This window comes from Homo sapiens, chromosome 22 (genome assembly GCF_000001405.40).
Source record: "Homo sapiens chromosome 22, GRCh38.p14 Primary Assembly".
Taxonomy (NCBI): Eukaryota; Metazoa; Chordata; class Mammalia; order Primates; family Hominidae; genus Homo; species Homo sapiens.
Window position 1 is genome coordinate 26,050,707 of NC_000022.11, and position 14,213 is coordinate 26,064,919.

The window sequence follows — 14,213 nt, forward strand, 5'->3', positions numbered from 1 at the left end:
ACAGTGAGGATACTAAGAGTCCTTACCTCCCCAGGTATTTAGATGAATTACGTGTTAGAACAGTGGCAGGCGCATAGAAAATGCCCAATAAATATTAGATATTGTTATTGTTGCTTATGAGTAGTGATGAGGGACCCTGAGAAGGTCCACCAGCGAATAGGTCCTATTTGTAGGATAAAAGGTTGGATGAGGTTGGGGAGAAAAATTGCTGGAAAGAGTTACAAGTGATGTTAAGAAGCAAGTATTGAAGGTAAACCTGACAAGCTATTAAGTTTAAGGATAGATATGGTTCTGAGAGAGAGGGAGATAAAGATGCAAGGTTGGGAGACAGGTCACCTGCAGGAACAAAGCGCGTGTTACATATTTAATACTTACATGACAAGTAAGACTTCAAGACAGTGATCAAAGCAGAAAACTACAATTTATTGAGTACCTATTATCTACAAGATGCATGCTAGGTATTTTAGGTACATAGTGTCACAGCCAGAGAAGATATGGATAATTGGTCCCTTTTTTTTTTTTTTTTTTTTTTTTTGAGACGGAGTCTCGCTCTGTTGCCCAGGCTGGAGTGCAGTGGCGCCATCTCTGCTCACCGCAAGCTCCACCTCCCGGGTTCACGCCATTCTCCTGCCTCAGCCTCCTGAGTAGCTGGGATTACAGGCGCCCACCACCGCGCCCGGCTAATTTTTTGTATTTTTAGTAGAGACAGGGTTTCATCGTGTTAACCAGGATGGTCTCGATCTCTTGTAATTGGTCCCATTTTACAGTGAGAAACCAGAGGTCTGAGCAGTGAAATGCTTTGCCAAGTCACATAGCTAATAAGGAAAGAGATGGGATTTGAATCCAAGTCTGTCTCCAAGTGAGTGCAATTTTCTTCCTAAAAATTTCATTATAAAGTAAGACTTGCCTGTGAAAAAAGAAGTATAAAAAGACATGCAGTGAAAAATGTTTCCTTCGTACTTCTACTCTTGGCCCTATTCCCCATGGGTAATCATTCCCAGTGATTTCTTGTTATCTTTCCTGATATATTTTTAATGCATGGACAAGCAGGAATATAAAATGCACAATTTTTTAAAGGTATGTGTCTTAAAAATGTATGCATTTGTGTGAATTTTACAAAAACAAATTTGAGCATATTAAATAAATGTTTCTACACATTACTTTTTGCACTTAAAAACATATTTTGAGGATCTTTCTGTATTAGCACAAAAATACCACCGTAATATGCCATTGCATGAATATACCATCATTTTTTAACCAGTCCCTCTTGATGAACACTTGGATTGTTTTTAGCCTTTTGCTTCTATCATGTTGTAATGAATATCCTTGCATATGCATCTTTGGATATATGTTTGAGGTCATTTGTGGAAGGAATTTTTAAAGGCAAGTGCTATGTTGAAAGGTGTATTTTTCTTCTTGTTGTTTTAGTAGACTTTGCTGGAATGGAAATTGGGTGTGGTTTTTCACTATTCTAAACCTCCCCAGTGTCTGTTGTTGGCTGTTTTGTGGGTTGGCTTTTTAGGGATTAAAGGCACAGGTTGGAGGATGGGATTCCCTCCAACTTGGCTGCAGGTTGTTTTGAGATGGTATTGATAATTTCATACATTATCTTCTTGTCGACTAAGAAAGGTCATCCCAATTTATTGGGCTGGTTACCAAAGATAATGGTGGCAATTCAGCAATTTAGTGTTTGTGTCATTTTATAGGTTGGCCTGTTGCTGTTTTAACAGAAACACTGGGATTAATGGATGTATATTCTCACTCCTTCCCTCCCTTCCCCTACTAAGGAAAATGTTTTCATTGTTCACTCAGCATTCCCATCATCCCCACCAGACATTTATTATGCAAAAAGGAAAACTCATGAGGGGTGAGAAACCAAGGGGTGGGAGTGGAGAGATTTAGTCCACAGATGAAAAGAACAAGAAAGAAAGAAGAGGAAAAGTTGGCAGCTTGCTGAGTTTTTGATTAAGTGTTGAGAATTGTGGAGAGGTTAGGAAGGGAATCACTTTGAAGCTGCTACTGTATGGAAGGATAAGAGGTATTGGAAAAGGAGGCTTTAAACATATGTTGTGAGTTATGAATTGGGTGGTTTTTTTTTTTGGTTTTTTTTTTTTGAGACGGAGTTTCGCTCTGTCGCTCAGGCTGGAGTGCAGTGGCGTGATCTCGGCTCACTGCAAGCTCTGCCTCCCGGGTTCATGCCATTCTCCTGCCTCAGCCTCCTGAGTAGCTGGGACTACAGGCGCCTGCCACCACGCCCAGCTAATTTTTTTTTTTGTATTTTCAGTAGAGATGGGGTTTCACTGTGTTAGCCGGGATGGTCTCAATCTCCTGACCTCGTGATCCACCCGCCTCGAACTCCCAAAGGGCTGGGATTACAGGCGTGAGCCACCACACCCGGCCGAATTGGGTGTCTTTTTAAGATTAATATTGGAAATGCCTTTTAGTGCCTTTTGGCTGCTAGACTGATTCTTTGAATGTCACGTTCCTCCAAAACTGGACCATGTAGTACTCCAAAATGTGCTTGGGTTATGCTAATATCACTGTCATCATCATCAACCATCCTCATCATCACTGCTACTACTTGTTAAACACATTTCTGTGAAAGATACAGCATTAGATGTTTTACCTAATTAAAAAGTAAGGTAGGTAATATTACTATACCTATTTTACAGAGGAAAAAACAGAGGAAAGTGGTTCAGCATTTTTTGCTCCTGGCCTCATGGCTGGTGCCAGTGCTGGAACTTACACCCATGTCTATTTCAAAAGCCCATGCTTGAATCCCCTATCATCCTGGTCACCGTCTTATTACTGTAATCTATATTAATGCAAGGGTGTTCTTAATTTGTCCTCAAATATATGTTTGAGCCCTTTGGTAGTGAACCCCAAATTCATAGTTGCCTAAAAATTTTCCTAGAGAGCTAGGTTGCATCCCTTGGGAAACAATGAAGCATTAACTCCTAGGAATTGCATAAGGGTGATCAGGGCTGGAGTGCATTTGTAGGTAAAGGAAACAAGACCCAGTGACATGGAGTTGAGGAAGTCTACTGATGCTCAAGAGACTGAGTCCGGGTGCCAAGAGATGAGACCACAGAATCAGACCCGGACTAGCTATGAAGGAATCTGAATGCCAGGCTTCCAGATTTGGTTTTATGATACAGATGTGAGAAATCTTTGATGGGTTCTGAGTAGATTTCCCTTCTAAAAAAATCACACCAGCTGCAAAAGAGATGATGCAACAGAAAGGAGAACTGGGAGGGGTTGGGGGACAATGGAAACACTGATGAAAAAGTCTAGGTAAGAGATGATAATGGGTGAACTCGGGCCAACAGGAAGGGCTATGAAAGGACCTAGAAACTAATTGGATGTGGAGGCGGAGAAAAAGAGAGGATGCCTGGATGCCTCTGGGGTTTCTAGTCTGGGTGACTGCTATTTTCCCAGGCCACTGCTTAGCATCACAGAGCAAGGAGTCCCAGGACCATGAATAAATCCTGCAGCCCCAGGACAGAGTTCTGTTGTATCACTTGCTTTCTGCATTTTTACCTCCTTCTTATTCCATAATCCTTGCCCTGTGGAAAGGGGCTGACAGTTTCTTACCAGAGCTCAATTAAATTATCTCTGAGCCCACCCCTTTTGCAAGTCCTGTGTGCCCGCTCAGTTTCCCTGCCGAGAAAATCTGCCCAAGCAGCAGAGCCCCATGCCAGAGATGTACAATCCCCTGTTACTATGATTAATTTGGATAAACATATGTCAGAGAAGCAACAGAAAATGAGCTCTCCTCTGTGAACGAGAACAAGCTGTGTTGAACCTGGGATCATTCAGGCTTCAAATTTGTAGGCAACTTCCAGGGAGCATGGGATGAGGTGGAGTTAGAAAATTTCAAAGCAACAAGGACACTGTATGTTCCTTGAGAGGAATCTCCTCATTGCAATTGCTTCTTCCAAGTTGGTTGATAAACAGAGCTGAGAGCACTGGAGAGGAACTGAGCCTTGATTTTTTCCTCACAGAGCCCAGAGAAAGAGCTACTGTTTATAGAGACGGTTTAATAGAGTGGTCTAGAGCTTTGGCACCAATGTCGATGGGACTTGGGGACACAGCCTGGCTCTGCCACTGACTGTGGAACCTTAGTCCAGAGACTGTGCCTCTGAATCTCACTTTTCATCTGCGAAACATAGGGTGATGATGTGATTTTTAACTCATCTGGGATCTTGAGGATCCCAGATATAAAGTGCATTTAAGCAACATAAACTTTCAAGCATCAGACAGCATGCTAAACATCGATGCTGAGTAAAGCAGACTGGCCACCTGTCTTCTTAGACAGCACAGTCTAGTAGATGTTCACACCCCTCAGGCTTCATTAGTGACTGCCTCCTGTGTGCCAGACACCACACTGAGAGCTTTTGTTTATTATTATCTGCAGCTTCAACCAAAAGCTGAGAGGTAAGCATTGTATAGAGCCCGGTGTTTTTTCTCTTTAAAACACTAAGTTCATTTAAGGATGGGATTGATATGATCCTCTATCCACCAAGCCCTTGGTTAAAGAGGACCACTCTGTAGCATGACAACCTTCCCTTGTTACTTGGGGAGAAACTATCATCTATCTCGGGCTTTTAAGTATAACCTCATTATATTCCATTTACCAAGGTTGGAAAGAGCCATGTTCTGGTCTTGGCTGGGATTTGCAAGACCTGGAGCATTGAAGAGGGCCTGTCTACTCTAATCCGGTGAGAATGAGGTTGCTAAGGAGACCTTTGTCATTATTAAATCAGTAAATACTGGGATGCTGATGGCTTCCCTGAAAAGGGGGTGCTTTCTCTTTTGAGAAAGGAAAACAACTCCCTTTGGACTGGAGGGGAAAAGCCATCGTGGAAAGTGGTGTTTGAAAAGAGAACAAACCACTTTGAAACTCTTTATCTTTCTGGTTTATCATGAGGCAAGAGGAGAGGCAGGAGGGACAGGAGTTGTATTTTACCTTATCAAGAAATCTAGGCTTCCTAAGCTTCCTTCTGGAAACCTTGTGCCCTATACTTAAGAGCAAGTGATTTTTTTAAAAGAGAGAGAGAAAAAATAAAGAAAAACAAAATTAGGAGAGCCAGTGTAGGAGACAGTAAAAGACTGGTTTACTAAACAGCAGGCACCTAATGAGGCAAGGACTTTAGATGTCAAACTGGCTTGAAGATGCAGAAAAGACTGCACACTGCTGGAGGAACTAATCCTACGCCTGAGATGAGCTCATTCTGCTTGCTTAGGAAAAGCAAAGCAAAAGCATTAATCTGTTTCCTGATTGATAGCAGACTTGGATTAATAAAAAAAAAAGTGCCTATGTATGTATTTCTTGCAATAAAATATTTATTACAGAATTTTAAAGAAAGATTAATTGACCAGATGAATAAATAGTATTCCAGGTTGCTGAAGTTTTAAGTTCTGTCCTCCAACAAATATAGATTTATCCAAAGTGTATTCAAATTTTTGAAATCCTCAGCCGTAGCTGGTTGAGCTCTTGTAAGTACTGAGACTGGGTCTATATAAAGCCAAAATAGGAACCCTCCAAAGAACTCAGTTTCTCAACCACTTTCAGTTCATAAAATAAAATATCCATGAATTATAGGTGCTGGATGGAAACATAATGAAAATCTTATCCATCAATTTCAATTTGCAGAAGAAAAGGTTGGAAGCTAGAGAGGTTTGATGGCCTGCTCAAGGTCAAACGGGCCCTAACTAGAACCCAGGTATCCTCACTCCTGGTCCTGTCTACCTTCCACAAAGGAGACCTGTTGGTTTATTTGATGGTTTCAAGTTCTTCATTGAAATTAACCAAGGTATGGCATCCTGTGATCTCCCATCAATTTGAGCCACAAGAATCTAACTTGATCAATTAATTCCTGCCTCATTTTATTCTGTTCTCTTCCTTCTCACAGGAAGTAACATTTCTGCCAACAACAACATCCACTCCTACTCAGCTCTTCGTTCCCTGCAATTCCTGTCTTGCCCGACCCCTGCAGAGTGGAAGAAGGTGATGGATGGGCAGAGAAATGGGAGATGGACAGCTACCAGGGAAGAATCTGTGATTTGGGAGCCTTTTGGTGACATGCACATTCAAAGGACTAGGAAAGAATGGCTTTTTCAAACAGCATAAATAGAAAACCAGTGGGCCCGAGCGCTCACTGCTACATAATGAACGTGCCTGCCTTTTCCTAACAACATTTTAAGTCGGTAATTGGCCCGACAGGGGACGTGAACTGTACACTGAGTCACAGAATAGTACAGAAAATCTCAGAATGGCTTCACCTCCCATCAGGAAAGCCTCCCGTGTACCAAGCCCTGTAGAGACACATTTCTGGCATTTGGAGGAGTGCAGACGTTCAAAATAAGAAAGAGCTTCAGAGGACAACCGTCCCCTGGGTTCCCGGCCTTTTCCACATCAGAAGACTCTTTGATATGTTCCCCTCTTTCCCTAGGGCCCCTTGTTCTAAAGGATGCAGCCAGCAAACTAAACTGCTCTGATCATCTAAAAAAAAAGGATATGTTTCCCACAGAATAACCACAGATCTATATAACGAATGATCACTCAGTTAATATGATGCCTCTAAAAGATAAGTGGCCTGTCTCATCTAAAATAATCATAATATCAATAATAATATGATTTTATTGGGTGCTTACTAAAGCCCAGATGAGGGATTTACAATGCTTATCTTACTTAATCCTTATGAGACTGTCATAAAGTTGTCTTTATTTCACAGTTCAGGAAACAGAGGCACAGAGGAGTTCTGTAACTTACCAAACTAGGTTCAAAACTCAGATTTATCTGACTGCAAAGTCACTTTTTTTTTTTTTTTTGGATTTAGCTTCAAAAGGACATTGCCTTTACAAAGTTATTCTTAACCATGCTACAGTTTTTCTATTAGTTTTTTTGAAATATTGACACTCATTTGGGGGAATGCCCATCAGTTTCTTCACAAGCTTTTGCAAGGTTGGAGGCTTTAGGTTAAGTATTGTTGTTTTGGTCTCAACTCTTCCCTTAATAGTTAAGATAATGGAGACCCACAGAGGGCTAGAAACTTGCTCAGTATCAACCTAGTTAATTAGCAGTAACACTAATTTTAAATGCTAGTTTTTAAAATTCTGGGTCCTGAGCTCTTTATGTCACACTCAGCTTCAGCAAGTAATAGTTGAACACCTATCAGAGGGAGGGCAGATAAGTAGCAAGCATGTCATCACCCTTATAACCAAATAGCCATGGCAGACATTACTAATCAATCATGGAAATCTTTCCTGCTGAACCTGGATGTGGCTCCATGCAGGCACTCCCAATCAATTAGAATTGGCAAATGAGATAAAACTTATTCACTATTGACACCATATGCAACACTGTTCAAGGTCCTCAAGATGATGTAAAACAAGCACAAAATGAATGTCTGCTTTCAAAAATGCTATCACTTTCAGAAAATTATTTCAGTCCAAAGTAATTTATTTCAAAGTACTAGGGCAGACCAACTTCTAATGCCAGTGATTTTTGGAGACAGGCAATATCATGAATTGATATTGATAACCTGCTCACAAAATCAAGATCAACCAGGATGAGAGTAGGGATAGGGACCACCTTGAGGGGACGGGATATGAGAATGTGAGTGGGAGAAGGTGGTTGCTGGAGGGCCAGTCAATAGGAGAAGGCATTAACTCAAGAGAAATGTGTGAGTGCATGAAGCTGAGGGTGGAGGTGGAAGTGTAATTTGACAAGGAGGGACACTAAAATTGATAGCTGAGAGAGAATGCGGTATCCACTGTGCTTCAGGGACTGCAATAGTTTGAATGTTTGTCTCCTCAAATTTCATGTTGAGTTTGATCCCCAAAACTGGAGGTGGGGCCCAATGGGAAGTGTTAGGGTCAAAGAGACAGATTCCCCATGAATGGCTTTGCGCTGTCCTCATGGTAATGACTGAGTTCTCACTCATTACTTCCTGCAAGCGCTGGTTGTTAAAAAGAGCCTAGCATCTCCCCTGCCTCTCTCTCTTTCTTCCTCTCTCACTGTGGGATCCCTGCACATACACTCACCTTTGTCTTCCATCATGAGTGGAAGCAGCTTGAGGCCCTCACCAGATGCAGATACTGTTTCTTGTACAGCCTGCAGAACCATGAGTCAAAAAATCCTCTTTTCTTTATAATTACGCAGCCTCAGGAATTCCTTTATAGCAACACTAAATGGACTAAGACATGGACAAAGCTGAGATTTAAGGGTGGAAGGAGCAGGTTAAAAGTATTAATTTGTTGCATATCAACACTTGTGAGTAAGATAGCTCTTCTCTTTGCCTCTTCACCTTTTTAAAATAAGTGACCATGATAAAAGAAAAGGTTATAGAATTGGGAGAAAAGGACAATATAATATAGGCCCTCCCAAAACCTTTGGGACTGTTTCCCACTATGAGGTAGACTTGGACAAGGACATTTTCTGACTCCCAGAAGTGGTGAATGCCACGTGGTCAGCAAATTCTGTCAAGACTCTTCCAGCCAAACAAGTCTATGTCATCTTGCTTGTTACTTTACCTCTTCAAAGGCAATGGCTACTGGGATGATGGATCTTGGAAGCATTAGCAAATGGAGTCAAAAGAACTAAAGGAAGAGGACCCAAATGTGGAGTGAATGAGACGGAGATTGTGTGAGTTATTAAGTATAGAACAGCCCAACTCCAGGGTGGGAAAAGAGGAATTATGCAAATGCCAGGATAAGCATTTCCACTTTGGAATTCTAAGAAATGAGAGTTTTCTAGAGAAGTTGTTCATCAAGGGAGAAATTCTATGTCAGGAATGTGTCAAAATTTAGAACCAAGCCCCTTTCATAGGCAAGGGAAGCTCAGGTGCCCATTGAGGATGCCCTGAGTTTGGGAAAGAGGACGGTGTCTTCCTGGGCTAAGCAGCTGTCTGCACCACTTTGGATCAATTTCCACTTGAACATGTTGCCACTGCCTCCCAAACTCCATCTTCTAACCCCAAGAATGCATTGTATAGAATTAGTCTCACAATTCCACAGACAGAATTAGCCTCTGCAATGAGAGATCAGCCCTTGACTTGTGGTTAATTACGTACAATTCAAAATCAACCCCCTGTTGTTCACATTTCCCTTGTGCCTGGAGCTCTTGGAAGAAGAAATTGCATGCTGTCCTGGGAAAGGCTGGAGAAGGTGTATGGCACTAGGTTGCAACGTGTTGGCATGTCCTAAAGACACATGTGAGAATAATGTGGTCGATTATTGTGACAGCTGAGGACAGACTTTGCTAGTCAGAATTCTGGGGAAACAACTTTAAGCATAAAAATGTTTCTTTTAAATGATTATTTTATTAGCCTTGTGATCAGTGCAGTACAGGATTCTGTTCCTGTTGAAAGAAGTAAAGCATTCGTACATCCCCAGCGTCCTTTAGTGAGCTCTCTAGGGCAGGGACCAGGGAACTATGGCCTGTGGGCCACATTCTACTCACTCCTTGTTTTTATATAGTTTCATCAGAACATATAATTTGTTTACATATGGTCTATGGCTGCTTTGAACTACAACAGAAGATTTGAGTAGCTGCAGCAGAGACCAAATACCCTGAATGGCTCACAGAGCCTAAAGTATGTACTACCTGGCTCTTTATAGGAAAAAGTTCACCAACCCCTGATTTAAGGAAATATCAGAGAAACCACCTAACCTTGTGTTTTGAAGCTGGATTCTGCTGGTCCATGACCTCCTGACCTTTTCCCTGCTCTGTTCTGCAATGCAGGAAGTTGCAAAGGAGCTGTCTCCCACAGGTGTGTTTGAGGCTCCTGGGTCAACTGGCTTCTGTCTGGATTCAGCAATGGCAGATACTGACAGTAGACTAAAGAGGGAGAAGATTAAACACACACATACACACGTATACACACACAGATATGTATACACACATACACATATACACAAATATACATATACACACATCCACACATTTATACATACGCACACATGCACACTACACACATATGTACATACATACACACATGCACACATACATATACACATGCACACATATATACATATACACATATACATACAAACATGCATACATTTATACATATACACATATGCACATATATGCACATAAACACATGCATACATATATACATATACACAATATACACATATACATATATACACAAACACACAGTTTTACATATACACATATACACACATATACACAAACATACATATACACACATACATTCACACATACACATGCACACACCACATATGCACACATGAACACACATATACACACATACCACATATGCACACACATACACACACACACACACACACAATTCAGTCAGCATCTCCAGTGGCAACTGTGAACCTTCTGTAGCCCCAGCTACTGTTGGCTTGGCCCCCTGTAGTGCCAGCTTCTGCTGAGGAGCCCCAGACCCTGGACTCCAGTAACACTGTCCTTTGACCCTCCAGCCAGGAGGTGGTAGGAGCTTCCTGCTGTACTGTTCTCTGTGATATCCCATGGTTGTTAGTAAATTCCTCAGCCCTTCCATCCCCTGTATAACCAGTTTCTTTTATCAAATTCCTGATTTTAAATCCATAGATTTGTTTCTGTTTTGTTGGTTGGATCCTGACAGGTCCAGGTCCTGACCCTGAATCCTGGCCATAGCACCAAAGTCCTGTTAGGGTCTGCTTTCTGTTTTCCACCTTGATGGGGCTGTTGGAGTTTTGCTTTGAATACTGGGTGGCTGTGTTCTTCCAAATTGTTGGAGCAGACAGCTTCATTAGCTAAGGAGTCCTTGCTACAATCATGGGCTTCTCTAGCCTCACCAGATGAATATCCATCTCCATCCTCAAATATCTCTCTGCTGCTCACAGTGAGATGGGACCCCAGGGAGGTGGCACTATCATAGCTCTCAGTTCCTGTGTCCCTATTGCCGAGAAACGTCATCTACCACCAAGAAAGGTCATCTACCACCGAGAAAGGTCATCTACCACCGAGAAAGGTCATTCTTCTGATGCTCTTTGCTTGTTTCCACAGTGCTCACACTCCCAACACACCTCTGCCCAACTCCAGCCTAGAATAATAACTCCAACCTCACTCCTACCACAGATTGTTTGGCTTTGATGCTGTCAACATTTGAATCTTGGCCCTTCCTAGCCCATCATTTTTCCATGATTTAAAAATTGATGCTGAAAAACAAAAAAAATCAGTGGTCAGAACATTTAAGAAAATACTGGATTAAACAAATTAAAAGAGGTCTCTTCAATACAGGACTTCTCAGAGCCTTTAAAATAAGAGGCAATTGAGACAGCAGTGTTTTCAAAACTAATTTGAGCATGGAACTTTTCTTCTCTGTGTGGGGATCATCTCATGGGGCTTAGGATCCATGAAACATTATTTGATATGATGAATATTTGTTGTTTCTGTCTGTCCAGATTCCATCTTTCTCTTACCCCCTTCTTCTGGTGACAGTATAACTCTCTTGAGTCAGAGACCTTTTCCATCTGGTATGGGTGGGACTGACCTTCCTGCCATCATCTTCAACAACAGAGTTGTGATGTCATCCAGTTGTGTCCCCAGTGATTGAGGATGGGAAGGTATCTAAATTGGGACAACCAGAGTCCTTAGGGAGACTTTTCTAACAAGGATTTCAGGGAGAACTTGTTCTTTCTTTCACTGGGGGTATTGAGTTGCTAGAATAATAGTGGGCCAGGGGTCTAATGGCTATCAGGTATGAAGAAGCTATTGGAATAGAAACCAAGCCAAGAGCCATAACAGAATTGACAGCTAGAGAGAAAGCAGAACCCTGGCAATATTTCCTGAGCCCCTGGACCCAGTCAAGTCGGAAACTGGTTCCATTCCTTTGACTCCCTAGTTACATGAGCTAATAAATCCTACCATTCCATTTTTATTTTACTATTATTAATAATTTTATTTTTGCTTAAGGTAGGTTGAGTTCACCCTTTTGTCTCTCACAAATAAAATATGCCTGGCTAATAGATGGAGAAAACACAGCCTCTTCTGGCTCAAAGTACATGCCATGCTGCCTTGGGTCAGAATCCCCCTGCTGGCTTTGAATCCTTAGAATGCAATCCCCAAGGCCAAGCCCTGTGCTTGGTATTCTGTCCCAACCACTCAAGGTCCCCTGAAGAGAAAAGGCCATGTAGAAATCAGGGCTTGAACGGGAGAAGACAGATGGAGCAGGACAGGAACACAGGGTAGCCTCCATCCATAATTCATCTTTCCAAAGCCAGGTCGCAGTCTCAACATCCTGGATCTTGGTTTTGTGTGAACCCATGAGATGGGGCCTTCAGGGAATGGACACCCAGCACTGTGCCTCTTCTTAAATTATGCCATGATTCTACATGTGCCCTAAATTTCCATCTTCTCTGCTGTTACACCGTTCCAACACCAAAGATCATTGATTCCAGCCCTGGAATGATTTACTTGGTGCAACTAGAAAACAACATATGTTGACTTGAATGATATTCAGATTAATAAATGAGAGACTCCAAGGCCTTCCAGCTGAGAAGCAGTTTTCATTCAGAAATTACTCATGTGGAATGGCAGAAGTGCCAAGAATACAGGTGTAAACAAGTGGCAGAAATGAGAAGAACCCGATGCGTGAAGAGAACAATGAAAATATTACCTCGTATGCTGAACGCCCCTCAACATTGGAAAAGAGCTTCCACAAACAATCTTGGTGATGCTCAAACCACCCTCTCAACAGGTGAAGGTGATTAGCCCCATTCTTCAGAGGAGATCATCCAGGTGGCCAAGAATACAAAATGACCCAAAGTGCCCCATATCAGGTAGCCAGAGGGGGCAGTCAGGGCTTGAATGTGAGATGCCTGACTCAGGTCCAGGTCTCTTTGCACATCAGACAGGGATGGTTAGCTGGTTTCCATCTCTGATCAACATGGAGCTGACTCTATTTCCCATTTTTCAGCCATCCCAACAACTCCACCCCAAAATCCAAAGTTTGCCCCTCAACACTAAACACCACTTTGCTGGAATGTCTATGTTTTCCTTCGACCATTAGGCTTCCCAGTTGTCACCTGGGGAAACTGTGACTATAGATTCCAGCTCAAACCATAAAGGGTTAAGAACTAAAAATAGTGTGATAGCAATTAAAGCTCTTCTTTTTCCTAATCATTTATTTCTTGATTTGTTAGCTGAAAGCCTATTATGGCATCTTAAGACATTAAAGAGTAGTTTTTGTGGGGGGAGGAGGATCCATTATACTAAAGACAATCCTTCAAATATGGTGGACATAAGTAAATTTTCTCTCTCTTTGCAAACCCAACCAACTCCATTAGGATGAACTAACAGTCCCTAATAAGGACAGCGGCCATCAGTTAAACAATTAACATATCTTTAGTGTTTTTCTCCCCAACTCATCCATAAACTCCAGGAAAAATGTGCCTGTCTTGTTCATTATTCTATATGCTCAGTAGGAGCAGAGCACGGAGCATGAAGCAGGTGCTTAGATTAGAAAATAATACAATAATTGAATGAATTAACAAACCGTTGAGATGAGATAGTCAAGTCAGCATAAACATCTTTTTTGTTTGCTGATCCTAGAGAAACATTAGCTTATGAACTTTATAGACAATAATAGCTTTGTACTCAGTACACTTTACTGTCATTCAGCAAAGCAGTTATTGATCACCCACTATGTGTCAGGGGTGTCTTAGACTGAGAGCCACTTCATATGCTTTTTGGTAAATGCACAGACACTGAAACATATAAACATACATACACAAATGGAAACATGCACACACACATATCCACAGACATATACACATACAATACATTCTTAAAGTCTTGGCTTGATTTTCTACTAGTCAAGATATGCCTGGGTTTAACCTGTGCATGCCTGTACCCTTCTACACCTGTAAGGACTTGATCTTCACCCACACTTGCTCCTCAGCCTGAAGGACCGAGCTTGCCTACAGATGGGCCATATTTAAGCCTCTGCTGCACCCATGCCTTGGGGCTGACTTTGGGTATTTGTCTGCACTGGCCCATAATCTGATCTTCCACTTGGGCCTCCGCTTTGCCCTCTGTTCCCTCAGCCCTCACCTGTGCTCTGGTTTTTCTCAGACACTTTGGCCTGGATCTCTATCTCTGCCTCAGTCTTTCCAGGTCCTCTTGGGCCCTGGACCCCAGCACAGAGGCTGGATACTGAAACAGACTCCCCTGGTGCCCCCTTCTCTGATCT

The 14,213-nt window shown here is 42.1% G+C and overlaps 1 protein-coding gene across 1 annotated transcript in view; it reads left to right on the top strand.

The window, feature by feature from the left end:
* Positions 1-13,141, top strand: part of MYO18B (myosin XVIIIB) — a 321,660-nt gene extending 308,519 nt beyond the window's left edge. The window contains exon 45 of the mRNA XM_011530461.3: positions 5,916-13,141. The gene's annotated coding sequence lies outside the window, so the exon portion shown is untranslated. The remainder of the gene's footprint in view (positions 1-5,915) is intronic.